We start from the raw sequence: 23,295 nt of genomic DNA, 5'->3' as shown, positions 1-23,295 counted from the left end.
AGTGGGAGCCCCGGAGCTCAGAGGAACTGGCTGACCCAGGGACCTGAGGCCAGCAGGGCTGCCTAGAGGGGGCCGCCCGAGCTCAGATCTAAAGGGCATAGTAAGGTCCGGCGCGGTGGCTCACACCTGTAATACCAGCACTTTGGGAGGCCGAGGCGGGCGGATCACATGAGGCCAGGAGTTCGAGACCAGCCTGGCCAACATAGTGAAACCCGGTCTGTACTAAAAATACAAAAATTAGCTGGGTGTGGTGGCGCACACCTGTAATCCCAGCTACTTGGGAGGCTGAGGCAGGGGAATCGCTTGAACCTGGTAGGTGGAGGCTGCAGTGAGCCTAGATTGTGCCATTGCACTCCAGCCTGGGCGACACAGCAAGACTGTCTCAAAAAATAATAAATAGAAATAAAGGGCTTAGTAAACACCCAAAATATAAACTACTTTAAAAAGGTGATCTTGCCGGGCGCGGTGGCTCACGCCTGTAATCCCAGCACTTTGGGAGGCCGAGGTGGGCAGATCACGAGGTCAGAAGATGGAGACCATCCTGGCTAACACGGTGAAACCCCATCTCTACTAAAAATACAAAAAAATTAGCCGGGCGTGGTGGCTGGGCGCCTGTGGTCCCAGCTACTCAGGAGGCTGAGGCAGGAGAATGGCGTGAACCCGGAAGGCGGAGCTTGCAGTGAGCCGAGATCGTAACACTGTACTCCAGCCTGGGTGACGGAGCAAGACTCCGTCTCCAAAAAAAAAAAAGGTGATCTGTGTTGTGCTACGTGGGACATAAAATAAGGGAATTTAGCATCATTGGCTGGGTCAGAGAACCACTGAAACCGCCTTTGCAAAATTATGACTGACACAGCGAAAGAGATCTAAGTTAACTTACTCCATCTTGCTTCTAACCTCCAAGCTATCCTTGTTCATTCCTGGGCAAAGGCTGAACTAACTTTGGGAGAGATTTAGTTTGTAGTTTATAGTTTAAACAAACATGGTAACAGCCCTTTCCCAAAGCAGACCTCCTTCTTGTCTGGCGACTGGATTGCCTTTGTAGGACTAACATTAGCCACAAGATTAGAAATTATGGTTTAGGAGTCATGCAGCTGGAGGGTACAAGATTCTGACCCTCCCTAAACTGCTCCTAAGATCAGTGCTTGAGATATTTCACAGACCCTGCACTTGATGGATCAGCTGGCCTTACCCAGATCAATAAACTGGCCCATCTGATCTTGTGGCCCCCCAACCCAGGAACTGACTGAGCGCAAGAAGACAGCTCCGACTCCCTGTGATTTCATCTCTGACCAATCAGCACTCCTGGCTCACTGGCTTCCCCTCACCCATCAAGTTATCCTTAAAAACTCTGCTCCACCGAGATCGCACCACTACACTCCAGCCTGGGCGACAGACCGAGACTCCGTCTCAAAACAAAAACAAAAAACAAAAAAACTCTGCTCCAGCTGGGCCCATTGGCTCGCATCTGTAATCCTAGCACTTTGGAAGGCTGAGGGGGGTGGAGCACCTGAGGTCAGGAGTTTGCAACCAGCCTGGCCAGCATGGTCAAACCCCGTCTCTACTAAAAATACAAAAGTTAGGCGGGCTTGGTGGCGGGCGCCTATAATCCCAGCTACTCGGGAGGCTGGAGCATGAGAATCGCTTGAACCCGGGGATGGAGGTTGCAGTGAGCCAAGATCGCGTCACTTCATTCCAGCCCAGGCGAAAGAGTGAAAATCCATCTCAAAAAAAAAAAATAAAATAAAATAAAAATAAAATCTCCCTGAATGCTCAGGGAGACTGATTTGAGTAATGGTAAGACTCCTGGCTGGGGCGCGGTGGCTCACGTCTGTAATTCCAGCACTTTGGGAGGCCGAGGTGGGTGGATCATGAGGTCAGGAGTTCGAGACCAGCCTGACCAACATGGTGAAAACCCGTGTCTACTGAAAATACAAAAATTAGCTGGGTGTGGTGGCGCACATCTGTAATCTCATCTACTCAGGAGGCTGAGGCAGGAGAATTGCTTGAACCTAGGAGGTAGAGGTTGCAGTGATCCGAGATTGCACCACTGCCCTCCAGTCTGGGCAACAGAGCAAGACTGTCTCAATCTCAAACAAACAAACAAAACACCCTCCCGCACAGCCAACTCTGCGTGAATTACTCTTTGTCTTGCAGTTCTCCTCTCTTGATGAATCAGCTCTGTCTAGGCAGCGGGCAAGGTGAACTCCTTGGGCGGTTACACACCATTCATCCCTCCATCCATTCATTATTTCCTTTAGCTGGTATTTTGTGAGCCTCTGCCCTGTGCCAGGCCTTGTGCTGGCAATGCTGGCGAAACAGCAGGGACCAAACCAGCACCAATCTGTGCCCTCAAGGAATTCCTAGTCCTGCGGGGGACAGACGTATCCCCCAACAGTGGGCAGAGCTGAGATGGGGGAGCCCACTGGGCACCTGACATGGCATGGGGTTCAGGGAGGGCTTCCTGGCAGAGGAGACATCTGAATTGGGACCTGAAGGGTGAGGACAACACCAGGACAAGGCGTAAGGAAAGCACTGGGGCAGAGGGAGGAGCACACACAAAGCCCACATGATTAAGGGAGTGCACTTTTTTTCCCCCTCTGTAAGTTTGGATGCTTAAAGTTTGCTTTCCAGGGCCCGGAATTCTTGGTTGTTCGGTGTTTGGTGGGGTCTTTGTTGGGGCTGCAGCTCTTAGAATGGGAAAGTATTAGATTTCACAGTTACCAAAGTGCTTTCCTGTTAGCCATCTCATTTGACCCCCACAACTGTTTTGTCCCCATGTCCGGAAAGAGGAATGACTTCCTCTGGTTTATAGAAGGGAAAATGGAGGTGTTGAGGGCAGCAGTTAATTGCTCAGGTCATACGCAGAGATTTGTGCCAGAGGCGAAACTTTGGACACTGAATTCCTAGACCCAGTTTGTTTCCTGTCTCTGCCTGTCTTCCAAACACTGTGACATTCTTAGCGTTGTGGTTTAGAAAATGGCTTCTGGAGCTGGGCGCAGTGGCTCATGCCTGTAATCCCAGCACTTTGGAAGGCGGAGGTGGGTGGATCATGAGGTCAGGAGTTCAAGACCAGCCTGGCCAACATGGTGAAACCCTGTCTCTACTCAAAATACAAAATTAGGCAGGTGTGGTGGCGCACACCTGTAGTCCCAGCTACTTGGGAGGCTGAGGCAGGAGAATTGCTTGAACCTGGGAGGCAGAGGTTGCAGTGAGCCAAGATCACACCACTGCACTCCAGCTTGGGCGACAGAGCGAGACTCTGTCTCAATAAATAAATAAATAAATAAATAAATAAATAAATAGGCTTCTGTGCTGGGCGCGGTGCCTCCCACCTATAATCCCAGCACTTTGGGAGGCCGAGGCAGGCAGATCACCTGAGGTCGGGAATTAGAGACCAGCCTCACCAACATGGAGAAACCCCGTCTCTACTAAAAATACAAAATTAGCCAGACGTGGTGGCGCATGCCTGTAATCCCAGCTACTCGGGAGGCTGAGGCAGGAGAATCGCTTGAACCCAGGAGGTGGAGGTTGCAGTGAGCCGAGATCACGCCATTGCACTCCAGCCTGGGCAACAAGAGTGAAACTCTGTCTCAAAAAAAAAAAAAAAAAGGCCGGGTGCAGTGGCTCGCGCCTGTAATCCCAACACTTTGGGAGGCCAAGGTGGGCAGATCACGAAGTCAAATTTCAAGACCTGCCTGACCAACATGGTGAAACCCCTTCTCTACTAAAAATACAAAAATTAGCTGGGCGTGGTGGCACGCGCCTGTAATCCCAGCTACTCGGGAGGCTGAGGCAGAAGAATCACTTGAACATGGGAGGCGGAGGTTGCAGTGAGCCGAGATCGTGCCACTACACTCCAGCCTGGGTGACAGAGCGAGACTCCATATCAAAAAAAAAAAAAGAAAAAAAAAAAGAAAGAAAATGGCTTCTGGAGTCAGACTGACATAGGTTTGAATCCCTACCCAGACTGGTGACTTTGGGTACGTCATTTAGCCCCTCTTAGCTTCAATTTCCGATTCTGTACATTGGGTATTATGTAATGGTCACATTAACTGGGCTTGTACTTTGTGCCACGGCTTGTCTGCAGCACCTTCCAGCCTCTGGCACTGGGTCCTCACCAGTTATGATGAGGTAGATACTATTATTATTATTATTATTATTTTGTGTATATACTATGTATGCATTATGCTGTAAATAATATTTATTGTGTTGTGGTGAGGATTAAGTAAATGGATATAAAATGTTAAGTCAGTGCCTGGCATAGGGTCATGGCTGTCACGTAGATGTTATAGATACAACAGGCAGGAAAAAGCAAAACATCTTGCCCTCAGGTACCTTACATTCTTGTGGAGGAAGCCAGACAATAAATGAAATAAATAGTTGGCTGGGCCCAGTGGCTCATGCCTGTAATCCCAGCACTTTGGGAGGCTGAGGCTGGTGCATCACTTGAGGTCAGGAGTTTGAGACCAGCCTGGGCAACATGGTGAAACCCCATCTCTACTAAAAATACAAAAATTAGCCAGGTGTGGTGGCAGGCACCTGTAATCCCAGTTACTTAGGAGGCTTAGGCAGGAGAATCACTTGAACCCAAGAGGCAGAGGTTGCAGTGAGCCGAGATTGCACCACTGCACTCCAGCCTGGGTGACAGAGTGAGATTCCATCTCAAAAAATAGTTAAAAGATGAAGTATATTAGATAGCAATAATTGCTCTAGGAAAAAAATCAGGGTTGTAGAACAAGGAGTATTTAAAGGAAGGCTATAAGCCTAGATAGGATTGTCAGGGAGAACTCACTGAAAATATGCCAAGGAGGGAGGGAACGAGCAGCATTGCCATCTGGGGGAAGAAACGTTCCAGCCCAGAGGATCCCGCATGCACACAGGACCTGAGGCATGAGCGTGCCTGGCACACAGGACAGAGGAAACTGATGACGGGAAAGGGGGACAGTTTGTATGGGGCCTGTGGGTCACTGCAAATGCCTTGGCTTTACTCTGAGTGGAACAGGACTTACTGGAGGGTTCTGTGCAGCAGAAGGACAATATCAGAGTTCTGTTTTATTTTATTTTATTTTATTTTTTGAGACAGAGTCGCACTCCGACACCCAGGCTGGAGTGCAATGGTGTGATCTTGGCTCACCACAACTTCCGCCTCCCGGGTTCAAGTGATTCTCCTGCCTCAGCCTCCCGAGTAGCTGGGATTACAGGCATGCGCCACCACGCCCGGCTAATTTTGTATTTTAAGTAGAGATGGGGTTTCTCCATGTTGATCAGGCTGGTCTCTAACTCCCAACGTCAGGAGATCTGCCCGCCTTGGCCTCCCAAAGTGCTGGGATTACAGGCATGAGCCACCACGCCTGGCCCGGGAGCAGAGTTTTTAAGGATAACTTGGTGGGTGAGGGGAAGCCAGTGAGCCAGGAGTGCTGATTGGTCAGAGATGAAATCATAGGAATTCAGAGATGTCTTGTGCTCAGTTAGTTCCTGGGTGGCGGTGGGGGAGGGGGAGGGCGGGCACAAGATCAGATGAGCCAATTTTTTGATCTGGGTGGGGCCAGCTGATCCATCAAGTGCAGAGTCTGCAGAATATCTCAAGCACTGATCTTAGGAGCAGTTTAGGGAGGGTCAGAATCTTGTATCCTCCAGCTGCATGACTCCTAAACCATAATTTCTAATCTTGTGGCTAATGTTAGTCCTACAAAGGCAATCTAGTCACCAGGCAAGAAGGAGGTCTGCTTTGGGAAAGGGCTGTTACCATGTTTGTTTAAACTATAAACTAAGTTTCTCCCAAAGTTAGTTCAGCCTTCACTCAGGAATGAACAAGGACAGCTTGGAGGTTGGAAGTAAGATGGAGTCAGTCAAGTTAGATCTCTTTTGCTGTGTCAGTCATAATTTTGCAAAGGCAGTTTCAGGATTACAGGCGTGAGCCACCACGCCTGGCCTCAAAATCTAAAATATTTACTCTCTGCCCCTTTACAGGAAGAGTTTTCTGACCCTGCTCTAGAATAGTATCCCTGCCCTTGTTTTTTGACATTGACATTGGAGCCAGTCCTCTGATTGATAGTGTGTCCCGATGTCTGGAGTCTCCTGATTGCTTCCCCGATTGGATTCATGTTGAACATGTTTGGCGGGAACACCACAGACTCGAGGTGCCTCCTAAGGACATCCCTTCAGGGGACTCCTGAGGTCTATTTGTTCTGTCATTTGTGATGGTGATTTGGATCGCTTGGTTAAGGTGTAACCATGTCAAGAACCTTTCCTTTTCCTCTTAGTAATGAATAACCAGTAGATTTGTTTACAAGGTAGAGCCAGCAGGATTTCCCATGGATTGGGTGTGAGACAGCCGACTGGAGGAGGGGCAGGTTGGACAGAAAGACCTGGAGCTCAGTTAGGGACAGGTCGAGTTGGAGATGCTACCAGATATTGCAATGTACTGGCTTCTTACATTTACACCTTTTAATTACATCATTAGTGTCTTCACACTGCTGATTGCCCTTTGCTGTGGCCCCCAGCCATGGTGATTGGAATTTCCCAGGGTGCACTGGCGGCCCTGCTTTCTCTCAGGTCAGGCGTCCTGAGCTGACCAGCAAATCCAGTATCTGTACCTTTGGCTGAGATACTTTTGACTCAGCAGGCTGCGCCCAGCTGTCTCACAGGAGAGGCTGGAGCAGTAGCTGTGGCTGCCTGAGGAAAGAACAGTACATGCTAGAAGCATAAATCATCGATGATGCACCCTGTTGGGGAGGCAAAGATCTTTTTAAACACAGAATTCCTTTGTTTAAATTATTTTAACCCAAAAGTAAAGGAGGTTGGTGATGTTAGGCAGGTTGAGGCCATGCCTGCAAAGTGCACTTTTGGTGCTCCCAGGGAGGCTGTGAGATATCTCTGGGCAGTAGGAAAATTCCAGCTCATCTGTGTTTATTCCTTTGGCGCGCACTGGTCCTTTTTCTGGTTTATCACACACAGTAGGCAGTAGAGTGACTGGTCCCCCAAAGATGTCCACATCCTTATCCCAAGAACCTGTTGAATATGTTACCATGCACAGCAAAGGTGACTTTGCAAATGTGATCAAATGAAGGATTTGGGGATGGGGAGATGATCCTGAATTATGCAGGTCAGGTCAGTGTGATCACAGGGGTCCTTATAAGGGAAAGAGGGAGGCAAGAGAGGGAATGATTTGAGGGATGCTGCCCCGCTGGCCTTGAAGATGGAGGAAGGGAGGCATGAGCCAAGGAATGCGGGCAGCCTCTGGAAGCTGGAAAAGCCGAGGAGATGGATTCTCCACTGGAGACTTCAGAAAGGAACACAGCCCTGCGGACACCTTGAGATTAGCCTAGTGAAAGCCATTTTGGACTTTTTTTTTTGGGGGGGGGGGGATGGAGTTTCATTCTTGTTGCCCAGATTGCAGTGCAGTGGCACGATCTCAACTCACTGCAATCTCTGCCTCCTGGGTTCAAGCGATTCTCCTGCCTCAGTCCCCTGAGTAGCACCCACCACCACACCTGGCACCCACCACCACACCTGGCTAATTTTTTGTATTTTTAGTAGAGATAGGGTTTCACCATGTTGGCTAGGCTGGTCTTGAACTCCTGACCTCAGGTGATCCACCTGCCTTGGCCTCCCAAAGTGCTGGGATTACAGGCGTGAGCCACTGCGCCCAGTTTTTTGTTTTGTTTTGTTTTGTTTTTTGAGAGGGGGTCTCACATGGTCGCCCAGGCTGGATTACAGTGGCATGATCTCAGCTCCCTGCAACCTCTGCATCCCGGTTTCAAGCGATTCTCCTGCCTTGGCCTCCTGAATAGCTGGGATTACAGGCGCATGCCCTAATTTTTGTATTATCAGTAGAGACGGGGGTTTCACCATGTTGGCCAGCTGGTCTTCAACTCCTGACCTCAGGTGATCCACCCGCCTTGGCCTCCCAGAGTGCTGGGATTACAGGCGTGAGCCACCACAACTGGCCCCCATTTCAGACTTCTGACTTCTGGAACTGTAAAATAATAAATTTAGGGCAGGTGCGGTGGTTCATGCCTGTTATCCCAGCACTTTAGAAGGTCGAGGCAGGAGGATCACTTGAACCCAGGGGTTCAAGACCAGCCTGGGCAACAAAGCGAGACCTTGTCCCTACTAAAAATAAAAAACAATTAGTGGGGCATGGTGATGCATGCCTATAGTTTTAGCCACTCAGGAGGCTGCGGCAGGATTGCTTGAGCCCAGGAGAATGAGGCTGCAGTGAGCTGTGACCGCACCCCTGCACTCCAGCCTGGGTGACAGAGCAAGACCCTGTCTCAAATAATAATAATAATTTGTGCTGTTTTAAGCCACTGCATTTGTGGTAGTTTGTTATAGTGGCCGTGGGAAACAGATACACCATGATCATTCATTCAGGTTGCTGAGGTCATTTTTTCAGAAGTGCTCAGCTCTGTGGCCATTCTTATGAATTTAGGCCATGGACTTGGTTTCAGTTTTCTTTTTCTACATAGCCATCTGATCCAAAGCTTGGTGGCTTACCGTAGTAACTCTTAGCCAGGTGCAGTGGCTCATGCCTGTAATCTCAGCACTTTGGGAGGTTGAGGTGGGTGGATCACTTCAGGCCAGGAGTTCGCGACTAGCCTGGGCAACATGGCAAAACCCTTTCTTTACTAAAAATACAAAAATTTAGCGGGTACCTGTGGTCCCAGCTTCTCAGGAGGCTGAGGCAGGAGAATCGCTTGAACCTGAGAGAGGTGGAGGCTGCAGTGAACCGAGATCGTGCCACAGCACTCCAGCCTGGGCAACAGAGCAAGACCCTGTCTCAAAAAGGCAAACAAACAAAAAACCCAGTCACTCTTAGTTTCTGTTACCTTTGTGGCTTGCCTGGGCTCAGCCGGACAGTTCTTTTGCTGGTTGCTGCTTGGCAGGCTCTCATCCAGGTGCAGGTGGAGGTGGCTGGGCTGGAGTCATCTGGAACTGGCACTGGGACTGGGGAGTTGGTTCCCTCTCAGCGTAGCCTCTGGGCCTCTCTTCTCCACGTGGTCTTTCCTGCAGGGTAGCTGAATATCTCACATGGCTGCTCAGGACTCCCCAACAGCCAGATTTTCATGAGGGAAGAAGCAGAAGCTGCAGGTTATTTAAGGGCAAGGCCTGGAATCTTCCAGCGTCATTTCCACCACACTATTGGTCAAAGCAGCTCCAGGCACAGACCACAGTGGGTGTGGGAAAGAACTGCACAGGGTGTGATACGAAGGGGTCCCTGATGGCACAGTCTGCCACAGAGTAGGCACTCTTGGCTTCGGATCTTGGCACTGCTGCTTATTAGCCATGTGACTTTGAGCAGGCAGCTTGACCTCTATGAGCCTCCATTTCCATATTTATCAAATGGGATACTAATAGAACTTATCTCCCAGGATTCTTGTGAGGATGCAGCAGGATAGTGGATAGGCGAGCCCTGGCCCGGGACATGCCCATCTGGTTGCTACTACAGGCTACAGGGGGTATACATGGAATCCGTTTTTTTTTTCTTTTTTTTTTTTTTTTTTGAGACAGAGTCTTGCTCTGTCGCCCAGGCTGGAGTGCAGTGGCACGATTTTGGCTCATTGCAAGCTCCGCCTCCCGGGTTCACGCCATTCTCCTGCCTCTCAGCCTCCCGAGTAGCTGGGACTACAGGCGCCCGCCACCACGCCCAGCTAATATTTTTTGTATTTTTAGTAGAGACGGGGTTTCACCATGTTAGCCAGGATGGTCTCGATCTCCTGACCTCGTGATCCGCCCGCCTCAGCCTCCCAAAGTGCTGGGATTACAGGCGTGAGCCACTGCGCCCAGCCCCCTTTGTTTTTTTTGAGATGGAGTCTAACTTTGTTGCCCAGGCTTTTGCCTTCCTGAGTAGCTGGGATTACAGGCGCCTGCCACCACGCCCAGCTAATTTTTGTATTTTTAGTAGAGACGGGGTTTCACCATGTTGGTCAGGCTGGTCTCCAACTCCTGACCTCAAGTGATCCGCCCGCTGTGGCCTCCCAAAGTGTTGGGATTACAGGCGTGAGCCACCGCACCCAGCCGGAATCCCTTCTTGTCATTACTGCCCAAGTGCCAAAACCTCTGCTTCTAGATAAAGACTTCGTGCACTCAGATCCTTGCCCTGCTGTTTACGTGGTGTGTGTCCTGCATGAGTCCCTCTGCCTTTCTGTACCGAATAGCACTTAACCTCATAGTTCTGATGTTCCCTCAGCACCATTCAGTAAACAGTGTTTACTGTTTACTGTTTGCAGCGCGGCCTCGAACCAGGCTGCCTGCTTATCTGTCCCCGCTCTGCCACTTTCTGTGTGACCCCAGGGAGAGTTATTTAACCTCTCTGGGCCTCAGTTTTATGCTTGTAATTGGGTTGTTATGTGGATATTAAGATCCATAAAACATAGAACTGTACCTGGCCCTCAAGTACTCTGTACATGTTTATTTACTTATTTATTCATTTTATTTGTTTATTTTTTGAGACAGAGTTTCGCTCTTGTTGCCCAGGCCGGAGTGCAGTGGCGTGATCTCAGCTCACCGCAACCTCCACCTCCTGGGTTCAAGTGATTCTCCTGTCTCAGCCTCCCGAGTAGCTGAGATTACAGGCATGTGCCACCATGCCCAGCTAATTTTTTGTATTTTTAGTGAGACGTGTGAATATAAGATGAGATTTGGGTGGGGACACAGCCACACCGTATCACTTGGCCTGGGGGATGGGGACTATGCTGTGGGGGAATTGGGCAGGCAACAGCCTTGTGTAGAACCAGGTCTCTGGCAAGGTACCTGGTGAACTAGAAAAAAACCTCCGTCTGAAGGCACACAAGCTTTGCCCTAGGTAGAGACTGATACATTCTCCTCTGAGAATTTGTAGCCACTGACTGTCCCTCATGTGGGCTTGGGGCCTCTTTGAAAGGTCCTGGAAGTTGCAGGCTGAGAATGAACCCCTAGGGGTACCTAATTGTATCTAAGCACCTGGCAAGGGCAAACATAAACTCTTCCTGCCTGTGCTCTCTCTGCCCAGGCCTTGGAGAAATCCTTCAGATAGAGTTCCAGCACATACAAGCTCACAGTAAAAAAAAAATATATATAGATAGATATATATCGAGATATATATCTATATATATAGTATGATATATATATCTATATATAGTATGATATATATAGATATATATCGAGATATATATCTATATATATAGTATGATATATAGGTATATATTGAGATATATCATATATATAGTATGATATATATAGATATATATCTCATATAGATATATATGATATATATCGATATATATATTTATATACATATATCATGATATATATGATATATATCAATATATATATTTATATACATATATCATGATATATATCCATATATGATATATATATCATATGATATATATATCTCATATCTCATATATGATATATATCTCATATATCTCGATATATATGATTATTATATGATATATGATATATATCATATATTGATATACATATATCATGATATATATCGATATATATCGATAATCTCATATGTTGATATATATGAGATATATATCGATATATATCTCATATATGTCGATATATATGAGATATATATCGATATATATCTCATATATGTCGATATATATGAGATATATATCGATATATATACTATATATATTTTTATTTTTTATTTATATGAGATATATAATCATATATATCGATATATATGAGAGATATATATATATCTCATATATATATCAGACCAACCTGACCAACATGGAGAAACCCCGTCTCTACTAAAAATACAAAATATATATATATATCAATATATATTGATATATATATATACACCACATGAAAAAAGCAGCCACCATGAGCGAGAGCCAGCAGAAAAACATGGCAGGTCACAGCCTGCAAACGTGGAATTATCAGATGTGGATATAAAATACCTAAGCTTATCTGTTAAGAGGATAAAAGAGAAGGATATTAAAACACAAGTAAAATGAAAAATTGCCAGGAAGCTGGAAAAAGAATTAAACAAAACTTCTAGAAAGGACAGCTACAACAGTTGGTGTTCAGCTCTCAATAGAAGGGCTAACTAACCACCAGGTTAAACACAACTGCCAAGAGGATTGGGGAGCTGAAAGGTGCACAATATGGAGGAAAACTAGTGAGCTTTCTGGGGCACTTCCAGTAGATGCCCAGGAGTGCTACCTGCAGGTCCTGATTTGGTGGACGTAGGGAAGGGGTGGACGTGTTTATTTTTAGCAGTCTCTAGAGTACATTCTCACACGCACCAGTGTTTGAAAATCACTTTGCTGGAGTTTATTTATAATCACCAGAGCGTCACATCAGTTATATTATATGGCAGCCAGGCTGCTGCTGGTGACCTCCAAACATTTATTATTATGTTCTCCTATCAAGGAAACACTTCTGAGGTTCCTTCCCTAGCATATATGTATGCACGTGTGTACACATATGTAAAATTATTTAGCAGTCAGCCAGGCACGGTGGCTCATGCCTGTAATCCCAGCACTTTGCGAGTCCAAGGCGGGTGGATCCCCTGAGGCGGGGAGTTCAAGACCAACCTGAACAACATGGAGAAACCCCGTCTCTACTAAAAAAATACAAAAAATTAGCTGGGCATGGTGGCGCATGCCTGTAATCTCAGCTACTTGGGAGACTGAGGCAAGAGTATCGCTTGAACCCGGGAGGTGGAGGTTGCGGTGTGCCAAGATCGCACCATTGCACTCCAGCCTGGGCGACAGAGCAAGACCCTGTCTCAAAAAAATAAAATAAAATAAGTAAATAAATAAATAAATGAAAGTATTTAGCAGTCATGTATAGCGCTAACATATAATAGTATGGTTATATTATATGCATTTAAAAACATACACAAAAATTAGAGGGATGAAACGAACATAAAAATTTTTAAAATAAACTTATTTATTCATGCCCCCCCCCCCCAAATAGTTTTGCTGTCACCGAAAACATTTTCCTATGCAGACATTATTAAGTAAATTTGGAAACTCTTGGTGAAACCCTCTGTGAGAGTCTGGCTTTGAATTTTTTTTTTTTTTTTTGAGACAGAGTCTCACTCTGTCGCCCAGGCTGGAGAGTAGTGGCACAATCTCGGCTCGCTACAACCTCCACCTCCCAGGTTCAAGTGATTATCCTGCCTCAGCCTCCCGAGCAGCTGGGATTACAGGCTTCTGCCACCACACCCGGCTAATTTTGTTTTGTTTTTGTTTTTTTCCCCAAGATGGAGTCTCACTCTGTCGCCCAGGCTGTAGTGCAGTGGTTCAATCTCAGCTCGCTGCAGCCTCCACCTCCCAGGTTCAAGCAATTCTCCTGCCTCAGCCTCCCAAGTAGCTGGGATTACAGGGGTGTGCCATTATGCCCAGCTAATTTTTTTTTGTATTATTATTGGAGATAGGGTTTCACCATATTGGCCAGGCTGGTCTCGAACTCCTGACCTCAGGTGATCTGCCCACCTCAGTCTCCCAAAGTGCTGGGATTACAGGCATGAGCCACCGCTCCCAGCCAGCTTTGACATTCTTTGTATGTGGCTGTCACAGCTGGCAAAGACCTAACTAAGGCACATAGTCTCAGATGGAAGAAGTGTGTCATTGGCTGCGTTTAATCTCGCTGCTCCTTTTTTAGTCCCACCCTTCATTATGCAGAGGCATTTGCTGGAATTTGCTCATGTACTCATGGCTAAATCTTCTGGCCGATTTCTGAACAGGGATCTTTTTCAGAAGCCCCTGTGTAGAGGGCTGGCTGATTTGCAACCTGAGTGCATCCCAGGGAATCTACTTGCGCTGGCTGCAAGCAATATGCCAAGTGGACAGGAGAGGGCGCCCGTGTCAGCCTGGGGATGGCGCCTGCCTGAGAAAGCACCAGAGGCCATCTCGGTCATTGACCCCGGTGTATCTCTGTATTAGTTTGTGCTCATCTGTAATTAATTGAAAACCCAGCCAGTAAATGTCAATCAAACCTTAAATCAAAAGGGTGTTTTTTGCTGGCTTTTCAGTAAGCCCTGAGGAAGGCCTGTTCTTGGTTGGTTTGGTGGCTCAGTGGTGTCATTGGGAACCTGAGGACTCCATCTCTGCTGTGTTGGTGCTCAGGCAGTCCTCATGGCCTCAGTAGGGCTGCTGCGGCTCCAGGCATTGTGCCTTTATGTTTCATAAGGGAGGAAGTCTATGCGTGTGTGTATGGAGGGGCGGGTGGTCAGGTAAGTGAGGGTAACGCTTCAAGGAGGAAAATCCTTTTCCAGAAGCCCCCAGGAAACTCCCCTCACTGCCAGCTTACCACAACCGGGTCACCTCCCACCCCTTGGTGTATGGGAGGTTGCAGTGGTGAGTATCGGCTTCTAAACTCTAATGGAGGTGGGGAGGATGGAATTACTAAGACAGTAGAGAATAATATAAAGTAGCACTGGTAATCAGACGCACTGAAGTTGTTCTGAAATCTTTTTTGTTTATTTTGAGACAGAGTCTTGCTCTGTCGCCCAGGCTGGAGTGCAGTGGCGCGATCTCGGCTCACTACAACCTCTGCCTCCTGGGTTCAAGTGATTCTTCTGCTTCAGCCTCCTGAATAGCTGTGACTACAGGTGCCCGCCACCACGCCCAGCTAATTTTTGTATTTTTAGTAGAGACGGTGTTTCACTATGTTGGCCAGGGAGGTCTTGAACTCCTGACCTCAAGTAATCTGTCTGCCTTGGCCTTCCAAAGTGCTGGGATTACAGGCGTGAGCCACAGCGCTCGGCCCTAGCCTCTCTGTTAATTGCGTCCTCTGAGCCTTAGAAACCCCTGAGTATCCTCTATACCAAGTTGAGTTGGTCTCTCCAGGCCTGGGAGGAGAGTAGAGGTGGGGATCATTTTCTGGGGTGTGGCTATGCTTCAGTCCATTAGGAGGCTGAGTAATTCATTCACTCAACAAATCTTTATTTAGTGCCTGCTGTGTGCCAGGAACTGTTCTAAGAGGCATGACTCAGTAGTCAACAGAACAAAGATCCTTGCTCTCATGGGGCACATTTGAGGGTATTAGTTACCTGCCTAGTGACCCCAGGGCACAGAGGGGTGCCTCATCCCGGATTTCCTGCCAAATTCCCAGGCTGAATCCAGTGGTCCACCCTGCGTCACATCCCCATCCCAGCACCGTCTCTGTGGCCCAGGGAAAGCAGTGCCCTAATTGGCCAGGCTCAGGAGTGGGGTTACCTCCTCCTGAATCCCTTGAACCAAAAGTTGGGGAGATAGGATCCCCCAGGATGCTGGGCAGATGGAACCAGTCATGCCCCTCTGGTAACTGGAGCATTGTGTGTTACTGCAGTCTCGGGTTGCTGTAATGGAAAGATCAAGCCAGGTCTGTGGGAGGAAGCACTGCCTATTGCGGCCTGCACAATTCTGTTAATACTTGGAGCACTGTTAGGGCAAGCTTAAAACTGGCTGGATTGGGCGGGGGCACAGTGGCTCACACCTGTAATCCTAGCAATTTGGGAGGCCGAGGTGGGCGGATCACCTGAGGTCAGGAGTTCGAGACCAGCCTGGCCAACATGGTGAAACCCCATCTCTACTAAAAATACAAAAATTAGCCAGATGTGGTGGGGCATGCCTGTAATCCCAGCTACTCGGGAGGCTGAGGCAGGAGGGTGGCTTGAAACCAGGAGGCAGAGGTTGCAGTGAGCCGAGATTGTGTCACTGCTCTCCAGCCTAGGTGGCAGAGCAAGACTCTGTCTCAAAAAATAAATAAATAACAAAATAAATAAATAAATTGACTGGATTGCCAGGTGGGGTGGCCAACACCCGTAATACCAGCATTTTGGGAGGCTAAAACTGGAGAATCACTTGACCTTTGGAGGCTCAGGTTGTAGTGAGCTGAGATCGTACCAGTGCACTCCAGCTTGTGTGATAGAGTGAGACTGTGTCTCAAAATAACAGTAATAATCATTGTCATCATCATCATCATCTGACTGGATCACATCTGGGGAAGTGCAACCAGGGCAGAGACTGGCTTGAAGCTACGTTTACCCTGAATAATAATTTATTGACTGATAATAACAGCTTTTATTTAATATGCTTTCCATTATCTCAGCAAATGATCTTAACCACCTTATTTAGGGAGTTTATGACCATCCTGGTTTTATGAGTGAGGAAATCTCTCAAAGCGAGAGAAACAGGTTCCCTGAGGCAGTACAGGATAAGAAGTCATATCCCACTGGCTCCCAAACTCCTCCTCTTATGTTTAATTATTGGCACTTGATTTTTTTGGTATATTCTTTGTTGAGATATAGTATCTGTACAATGCAAGGTACAGATCTAAAGGCTACAGTTCAATGAGTATTGGTACATGCATATACCCATGTAACTAGTACCCAAGATATAAAACATCGTCATTACTCTAGAAAGGTCCCTCCTCCCCTGCTCTGTCTCCTTATCTGACTTCTCTCCTTGTTGATTAGTTCTGCTTGTTGTTCAACTTGATATAAATGGAATCATACACTATGAAATTTATGTTTAGCTTTTGTTCATTTGATACTTCTGAGATACTTCTTGCTGAATGTATCAATAGTTCATTTCTTCTTCTTCTTTTTTTTTTTTTTTTTTTGACACAGGGTCTCCCCCTGTCACCCAGGCTGGAGGGCAGTGGCACAAACACGGCTCACTGCAGCCTCAACCTCCTGGGATCAAGCGATCCTCCTGCCTCAGCCTCCTGAGTAGCTGGGACCACAGGCACATGCCACCATGCCCGGCTAATTTATTTTATTTTTTGTAGAGATGGATCTCACTAAGTTGCCGATAGTGGTCTTGAACTCATGGGCCCAGGTGATCCTCACCGCTTGGCCTCCCAAAGTGCTGGGGTACAAGTGTGAGCCACCATGCCTGTCTAGTTTATTTTGTTATTTTGTTTATTACTCTTAATAAAAGTGTATTCTTTTCTTTTATTACAGTATATGAATATGCCATGCTTTGTTTAATAACTGTCCTAGTGATGGGCATTTGGGTTGTTTCCAAGTTATTGCAAGTAAAGGTGCTATGAACATTTGTGTACAAGCCTTTATATGGATGTTTTCATTTCTCTTGGTAGAAATGAAATTCTCCCAGTAATTATCTAGGAGTAAAATTTCTGGGTTATATGGTAAGGTTATATTTAATTTTATAAGCAGCTGGCTGAGCCAGGTGCGGTGGCTCACGCCTGTAATCCCAGCACTTTGGGAGGCTAAGGCGGGCGGATCACAAGGTCAGGAGATTGAGACCAGCCTGGCCAACATGGTGAAACCCTGTCTCTACTAAAAATACAAAAAAAAAATTAGCTGGGCATGGTGGCACGTGCCTGTAGTCCCAGCTATTTGGGAAGCTGAGGCAGGAGAATCACTCGAACCTAGGAGGCAGAGGTTGCAGTGAGTCGAGATCATCCACTGCACTCCAGCCTGGGCGACAGAGCGAGACTCCGTCTCAAAAAAAAAAAAAAGAGAAAAATCAGGCTGGTGGATCATCTAAGGGAGTGGTGGCTCACTCCTGTAATCCCAGCTCATTGGGACTCCAAGGCGGGTATTATCATCTGAGGTCAGGAGTTAGAGACCAGCCTGGCCAACATGGCAGAGCCCTAACTCTACTAAAAATACAAAAATTAGCAGGGCACAGTGGTCTGCGCCTGTAATCCCAGATACTCGGGAGGCTGAGGCAGGAGAATCACTTGAACCCTGGCAGCAGAGGTTGCAGTGAGCTGAGATTGCGCCTTTGCACTCCAGCCTGGGCGACAGAGCAAGACTCCATCTCAAAAAACAATAATAATAATAAAAAAAAGAATATTAAACCAATCTTATATTCCTGCAGAAATCCCACTTGATTATGCTATATTATCTTTTTTATATATTGCTGGCTTTCGTTTGCTAATATTTTCCTAAAGATTTCATCTGTGGTCATCAGTGACATATTCTATAATTTTATTTTCTTGTATGTCTTTGTCAGATTTGATTGATTGATTGATTTGATTAAGACCAAGTGTCACTCTGTCACCCAGGCTGCAGTACAGTGGCAGGATCATGGCTCACTGCAGCCTTGAACCTGGGGGCTCAAGTGATCCTCCTTTCTGAGCCTTCTGAGTAGCTGGGGCCACAGGCATGCACCACCACGTACAGCTAATTTAAAAATCTTTTTGTGGCCGGGCGCGGTGGCTCATGGCTATAATCCCAGCCTCTGGGAGGCTGAGGCAGGTGGATCACTTAAGGTCAGGAGTTCAAGACCAGCCTTACCAATATGGTGAAACCCTGTCTCTACTAGAATTACAAAAATTAGCCGTAATTAGACTAAATACAAAAGTTAGTCTCACTCTGTCGCCCGGGTTGGAGTGCAATGGCATGATCTCAGCTCACCACAACCTCCGCCTCCCAGGTTCAAGCGATTCTCCTGCATCAGCCTCCCGGGTAGCTGGGATTACAGGGTCATGCCACCATGCCCGGCTAATTTTTGTATTTTTACTAGAGACGGGTTTTTACCATGTTGGCCAGGCTGGTCTCAAACTCCTGACCTCAGGTGATCCACCCGCCTCGACCTCCCAAAGCGCTGGGATTACAGGCGTGAGCCACCACGCCCAGCCACTAGACATCAAATTATGTAATGCGTGCAGTTTCGATCAGTGGTATACTAATAGAAATTGCATGATAATGCAATCCAAGAGAAAATTTTGTTTTTTGTTTTTTGTTTTGTTTTTTGAGACGGAGTCTTGCTCTATCACCAGGCTGGAGTGCAGTGGCACCATCTCGGCTCACTGCAACCTCCGCCTCCCAGGTTCAAGCAATTCTCCTACCTCAGCCTCCGAAGTAGCTGGGACCACAGGCGTGTGCCACCACGCCCAGCTAATTTTTTTTTTTTCTTTATTTTTAGTAGAGATGAGGTTTCACCATGTTGGCCAGGATGGTCTCGATCTCTTGACCTCGTGATCCGCCCACCTCGGTCTCCCGAAGTGCTGGGATTACAGGCGTGAGCCACCACGCCCGGCCGAGAAAAGTTTTAACTAAAATCACAAAGAATGAAATTTTTGATTTTAATTTATAGATACATTTTTGTTTCAGAGACTTATGATAGGACATTTGAGCATAAAAAAGTCACATTAGGATAAAACTTTATAGAGAAAGTAAAATGTAGGTGGAACTTCAAAGATAGCAGGGAACAATGCAAACTCTTAAAAAAGAGATAGTTGGTGTATTTTTAAATGGCTTTGGAGGGAGACAGAGAAGCAGGGGTCTGGGAGCCACTGGGATGTCTTTGACCCAGATCCTTCCCATCGTCATCACCTCATGGCCAGGCTCACAGCTAAGCAGAGCCCCTATCTGGACCTCAGTGGCAGGTGTGGTTTTGTCCCCAGCAACACCAGGCAGGGTTACTGGAGTTCAAGGCCAAGGCTGAGTGGGCTCTTGATGTCTGCATTGCCCACCAGCCCCATGCCAGAGGAACAGGCTTGTTTTCAGTGTGGCACTTGCCCCCTGGGCTGTTCTCAGAGTCCTCCTGGTTTACCCCCAGTCAAGGAGGGATCCTGGGCTTAACCCCACCCTCAGTCACTTTGCATGTGTGGTCCTAGTCTCCAGTTCCTTCTGCTTCTTGTCACCGCCCTTTCCCCCTCTCCCCTTCTTCCCTCTACCTGCCCCCCTTCCAGGGTGCCTAGGTCTCAGCAGCCTCCCTGCTGGCTCAGTTACCTCTCAGCCATCTGCTCCCGCCTCAAGGCTTGCATTGATTCCCTCCCCTTCCGCCTAGTCGCATACCCTCCCAACCCCCCCACCCCCACCCTGATGCTTCTCTTTGTTCTTGTGGCTTCTGCTGTCTTTCCTTCCAGGACTGCTATTTTATTGGGTCTTGAGGAGGGAGCAGAGGTGCAGAGGTATAGGCTTAACCTGTGGAATCCTGGGGGCCAAGGTGGCTTGTTTGATTTTTTTGAAAAAAGTTTTAATTATCTGTTTTGGTCAGGCACAGTGGTGCACACCGGTAATCCCAGCACTTTGGGAGGCCAAGACAGGCCGATTGCTTGAGCTCAGGAGTTCAAGACCAGCCTGGGCAACATGACAAAATCTCATCTGTATTTAAAAAAAAAAAAAAAGGCCGGGCGCGGTGGCTCACACCTGTAATCCCAGCACTTTGGGAGGCCGAGGCAGGTGGATCATGAGGTCAGAAGTTTGAGACCAGCCTGGCCAACATGGTGAAACCCCATCTCTACTAAAAGTACAAAAATTAGCAGGGCATGGTGGCGTGCGCCTGTAGTCCCAGCTACTTGGGAGGCTGAGGTGGGAGGACTGTTTGATCGCTGGGATTCCAGGCCACAGTAAGCCATGATCCTGCTACTGTACTTCAGTCTGGGTGACAGAGTGAAACCCTGTCTCAAAACAAAAACAAAAAACAAGACTTCCTTACTCTATTTCAGCTGCTGACAGAAATGCTGGAATTTGTGAGATTATAGTGTCAGAGGGTCTCTCTTGGCTTTTTAATTGTTATCATAGGCTGGGCACAGTGACTCACACCTGTAATCCCAGCACTTTGGGAGGCCGAGGCGGGTGGATCACAAGGTCAGGAGATCGAGACCATCCTGGCTAACACGGTGAAACCCCGTCTCTACTAAAAATACAAAAATTAGCTGGGCATGGTGGCGGGCGCCTGTAGTCCCAGCTACTCAGGAGGCTGAGGCAGGAGAACGGTGTGAACCTGGGAGGCGGAGCTTGCAGTGAGCCAAGATCGAGCCACTGCACTCCAGCCTGGGCGACACAGTGAGACTCCGACTCTAAAACAAACAAAAAAATTGTTATCATACACTATGCTGCAGGATTAAGGAGCCCAGCAAGGCCTTTCCCACCTGGACGGGTGAACCTGACATAAATGCCCAGAAGCAGAATGACTGACTCCAGGGTGTGCAAGGATTTACACTTACACCAGCAAATGGGTGAGAAGGTCCATTTCCTCACAGTCGAGCCACCTGGGGGCTGTTTCTGTTTTCATTTTTCTACTTTGAACTAATTTTAGACCCACAGAAGAGTTACAATAAAAGTACAGAGAGTTCCCACATACCTTTCACCCAGAGTCTCCGGATGATAACATTTTACATAACCACAATGCAATGAGGCGACCCAGGAAATGAACACTGGTATAAAGCCTGCAGGCCTCATTCCTATCTCAGCAGTGTTTCCACTGGTGTCCTTTTCTGCCTGTTCCAGGATCTTCTCCAGAAATGCACGTTCATTTAGGTGTCATTTCTTTTATTTATTTATATTTTTTTTGAGACTGAGTCTCGCTGTGTCTCCCAGGCTGGGCAGTGGCGCGATCTCAGCTCACTGCAACCTCTGCCTCCCAGGTTCAAGAGCTTCTCCTGCCTCAGCCTCCTGAGTAGCTGAGATTACAGGCGTGCGCCATCACACCCAGCTAATCTTTTTTTTTTTAGTAGAGACAGGGTTTCATCATGTTGGCCAGACTGGTCTTGAACTCCTGACCTCATGATCCACCTGCTTTGGCCTCCCAAAGTGCTGGGATTTCAGGTGTGAGCCACCGCCCCCGGCCTATCATGTTTCTTAATAAGGGAATTTCTTTTTCCTTTTTCTTTTCTTTTTTTTTTTTTTTTTTTTGAGATGGAGTCTCACTGTATCACCCAAGCTGGAGTGCAGCACCATCTCAGCTCACTGCAGCCTCTGCCTCCTGGATTCAAGCGATTCTCCTGCCTCAGCCTCCCAAGTAACTGGGATTACAGGTGTGCATCACCACTCCCGGCTAATTTTTTATTTTTAGTAGAGATGGGGTTTTGCCATGTTGGCCAGGCTGGTCTTGAACTCCTGACTTCAAGTGATCCAGTGCCTCGGCCTCTTAAGTGCTGGGATTATTATAGGCGTGAGCCATAATGCCTGGCCCTAATAAGAGAATTTCTAAACATTCCTCATTTGGAAATTTTTTTCTCATCTTTTATTATTTCTTCCCCATCTTTCATTTTTTTATTTTTATTTTATTTTATTATTTATTTATTTATTTTTGAGACGGAGTGTCGCTCTGTTGCCCAGGCTGGAGTGCACTGACTGGCATGGTCTCGGCTCACTGCAGCCTCTGCCTCCCGGGTTCAAGCGATTGTCTTGCCTCAGCCTCCCGGGTAGCTGGGATTACAGATGCCTGCCACCACGCCCAGCTAATTTTTGTATTTTTAGTAGAGACGGGGTTTCACCATATTGGTCAGGCTGGTTGCAAATTCCTGACCTCAGGTGATCTGCCCGCCTCGGCCTCCCAAAGTGCTGGGATCTTCCCCATCTTTTATTATCAGCCAACTTCCTTGTATGAAAGATAAGGATTTGATGTTTTTCCTTTCCCTCTCCCATATTAAATAACCTCTCCCTCCTCCCTAGTATACAGTTCCGGTTACCGGTTCCACGGGATTTAGCCTCTCAGTAGCCAGCATGTTCGTCATGGCCGTCTTGCCATCGTGGGCTCTAGCAGTCACTACTGTGTCCTTATGACGACCCTTCACCATCGAGTAGTGGACCCTATGAGGAATACCTTCCCTTCATTTTACAAGGAAGCAGCCATCGTATGCAGGCGTGTTCCCAATAGTGGGGAAGAGGTGCTTTGTCCTTTTTTTCTTTCTTTCTTTTTTGAGATGGAGTTTTGCTCTTGTTGCCCAGGCTGGAGTGCAATGGCATGATCTCGGCTCACCGTAACCTCCACCTCCCAGGTTCAAGCGATTCTCCTGCCCCAGCCTCCCGAGTAGCTGGGATTACAGGCATGCGCCACCATGCCTGGCTAATTTTGTATTTTTAGTAGAGACAGGGTTTCTCCATGTTGGTCAGGCTGGTCTTGAACTCCCGACCTCAGGTGATCCACCCACCTCGGCCTCCCAAAGTGCTGGGATTACAGGCGTGAGCCACCGCGCCCGGCCTGTCCTATTTGTGCATAAGCTCCCGAGCCCCGGTCCCCCACCACGGAGGGAGCTGTTTGGTCTTAGCAGCACATTTCCTGAGGAAAGGGTTGCATTCCAGCCACCTGCAGTTTCATGCTCAGAAAAATCTTGAACAATAGTTAACTGTGGCCAAGTACGTCACTTTACTTGCCTCAGTGGGTTAAGATATCCCTCCTTTCCCGGGGAAATCTCTCTGGGCTTGGTCAGCCACTGTGTTGTGACCTAGAGTGTCTGAAGTGCCTGTGGCCTGGAGCTCCGGGGCTGAGAGAGATCTGAGCATAGGAGTTTGGGTCCTGAAGTTCTGAGTGGCCCCTGGAAGTAGATGTGACAGTCGAGTGAGAAAAGGGCTTAGGAAATGGTGCCCTGAGAAATGACAGCCACTGAGGCCGAGGAAAGGGTCTATATCAGAGACAGATGTGT

General features: G+C 47.6%; 1 protein-coding gene across 3 annotated transcripts in view, besides 9 other annotated features; it reads left to right on the top strand.

Annotated features, from left to right (window-relative positions):
• OPA3 (outer mitochondrial membrane lipid metabolism regulator OPA3) overlaps window positions 1-23,295 on the top strand; it is a 57,376-nt gene that overhangs the window by 897 nt on the left and 33,184 nt on the right. The gene's annotated exons all lie outside the window — the stretch shown is intronic.
• Window positions 60-995: an enhancer, noted in NCBI's record as "H3K27ac-H3K4me1 hESC enhancer chr19:46086169-46087104 (GRCh37/hg19 assembly coordinates)". NCBI's record gives its function as "activates a minimal SCP1, AML or CMV promoter by ChIP-STARR-seq in primed H9 embryonic stem cells {active_cell/tissue: H9 hESC(primed)}" and the evidence as "EXISTENCE:reporter gene assay evidence [ECO:0000049][PMID:30033119]".
• Window positions 996-1,931: an enhancer, noted in NCBI's record as "H3K4me1 hESC enhancer chr19:46085233-46086168 (GRCh37/hg19 assembly coordinates)". NCBI's record gives its function as "activates a minimal SCP1, AML or CMV promoter by ChIP-STARR-seq in primed H9 embryonic stem cells {active_cell/tissue: H9 hESC(primed)}" and the evidence as "EXISTENCE:reporter gene assay evidence [ECO:0000049][PMID:30033119]".
• Window positions 2,431-2,931: an enhancer, noted in NCBI's record as "H3K27ac hESC enhancer chr19:46084233-46084733 (GRCh37/hg19 assembly coordinates)". NCBI's record gives its function as "activates a minimal SCP1, AML or CMV promoter by ChIP-STARR-seq in primed H9 embryonic stem cells {active_cell/tissue: H9 hESC(primed)}" and the evidence as "EXISTENCE:reporter gene assay evidence [ECO:0000049][PMID:30033119]".
• Window positions 6,009-6,644: an enhancer, noted in NCBI's record as "NANOG-H3K4me1 hESC enhancer chr19:46080520-46081155 (GRCh37/hg19 assembly coordinates)". NCBI's record gives its function as "activates a minimal SCP1, AML or CMV promoter by ChIP-STARR-seq in naive H9 embryonic stem cells {active_cell/tissue: H9 hESC(naive)}" and the evidence as "EXISTENCE:reporter gene assay evidence [ECO:0000049][PMID:30033119]".
• Window positions 6,382-6,531: an enhancer, noted in NCBI's record as "active region_14801". NCBI's record gives its function as "activates an Ori minimal core promoter by ATAC-STARR-seq in GM12878 lymphoblastoid cells {active_cell/tissue: GM12878}" and the evidence as "EXISTENCE:reporter gene assay evidence [ECO:0000049][PMID:35858748]".
• Window positions 18,862-19,659: an enhancer, noted in NCBI's record as "OCT4-NANOG-H3K4me1 hESC enhancer chr19:46067505-46068302 (GRCh37/hg19 assembly coordinates)". NCBI's record gives its function as "activates a minimal SCP1, AML or CMV promoter by ChIP-STARR-seq in naive and primed H9 embryonic stem cells {active_cell/tissue: H9 hESC(naive and primed)}" and the evidence as "EXISTENCE:reporter gene assay evidence [ECO:0000049][PMID:30033119]".
• Window positions 19,421-19,470: a silencer, noted in NCBI's record as "silent region_10781". NCBI's record gives its function as "represses an Ori minimal core promoter by ATAC-STARR-seq in GM12878 lymphoblastoid cells {active_cell/tissue: GM12878}" and the evidence as "EXISTENCE:reporter gene assay evidence [ECO:0000049][PMID:35858748]".
• Window positions 19,660-20,457: an enhancer, noted in NCBI's record as "OCT4-NANOG-H3K27ac-H3K4me1 hESC enhancer chr19:46066707-46067504 (GRCh37/hg19 assembly coordinates)". NCBI's record gives its function as "activates a minimal SCP1, AML or CMV promoter by ChIP-STARR-seq in naive H9 embryonic stem cells {active_cell/tissue: H9 hESC(naive)}" and the evidence as "EXISTENCE:reporter gene assay evidence [ECO:0000049][PMID:30033119]".
• Window positions 21,256-22,054: an enhancer, noted in NCBI's record as "H3K4me1 hESC enhancer chr19:46065110-46065908 (GRCh37/hg19 assembly coordinates)". NCBI's record gives its function as "activates a minimal SCP1, AML or CMV promoter by ChIP-STARR-seq in naive and primed H9 embryonic stem cells {active_cell/tissue: H9 hESC(naive and primed)}" and the evidence as "EXISTENCE:reporter gene assay evidence [ECO:0000049][PMID:30033119]".

This window comes from Homo sapiens, chromosome 19, assembly GCF_000001405.40.
Source record: "Homo sapiens chromosome 19, GRCh38.p14 Primary Assembly".
Lineage (NCBI taxonomy): Eukaryota > Metazoa > Chordata > Mammalia > Primates > Hominidae > Homo > Homo sapiens.
This window is presented reverse-complemented; position numbering and strand designations above follow the sequence as displayed.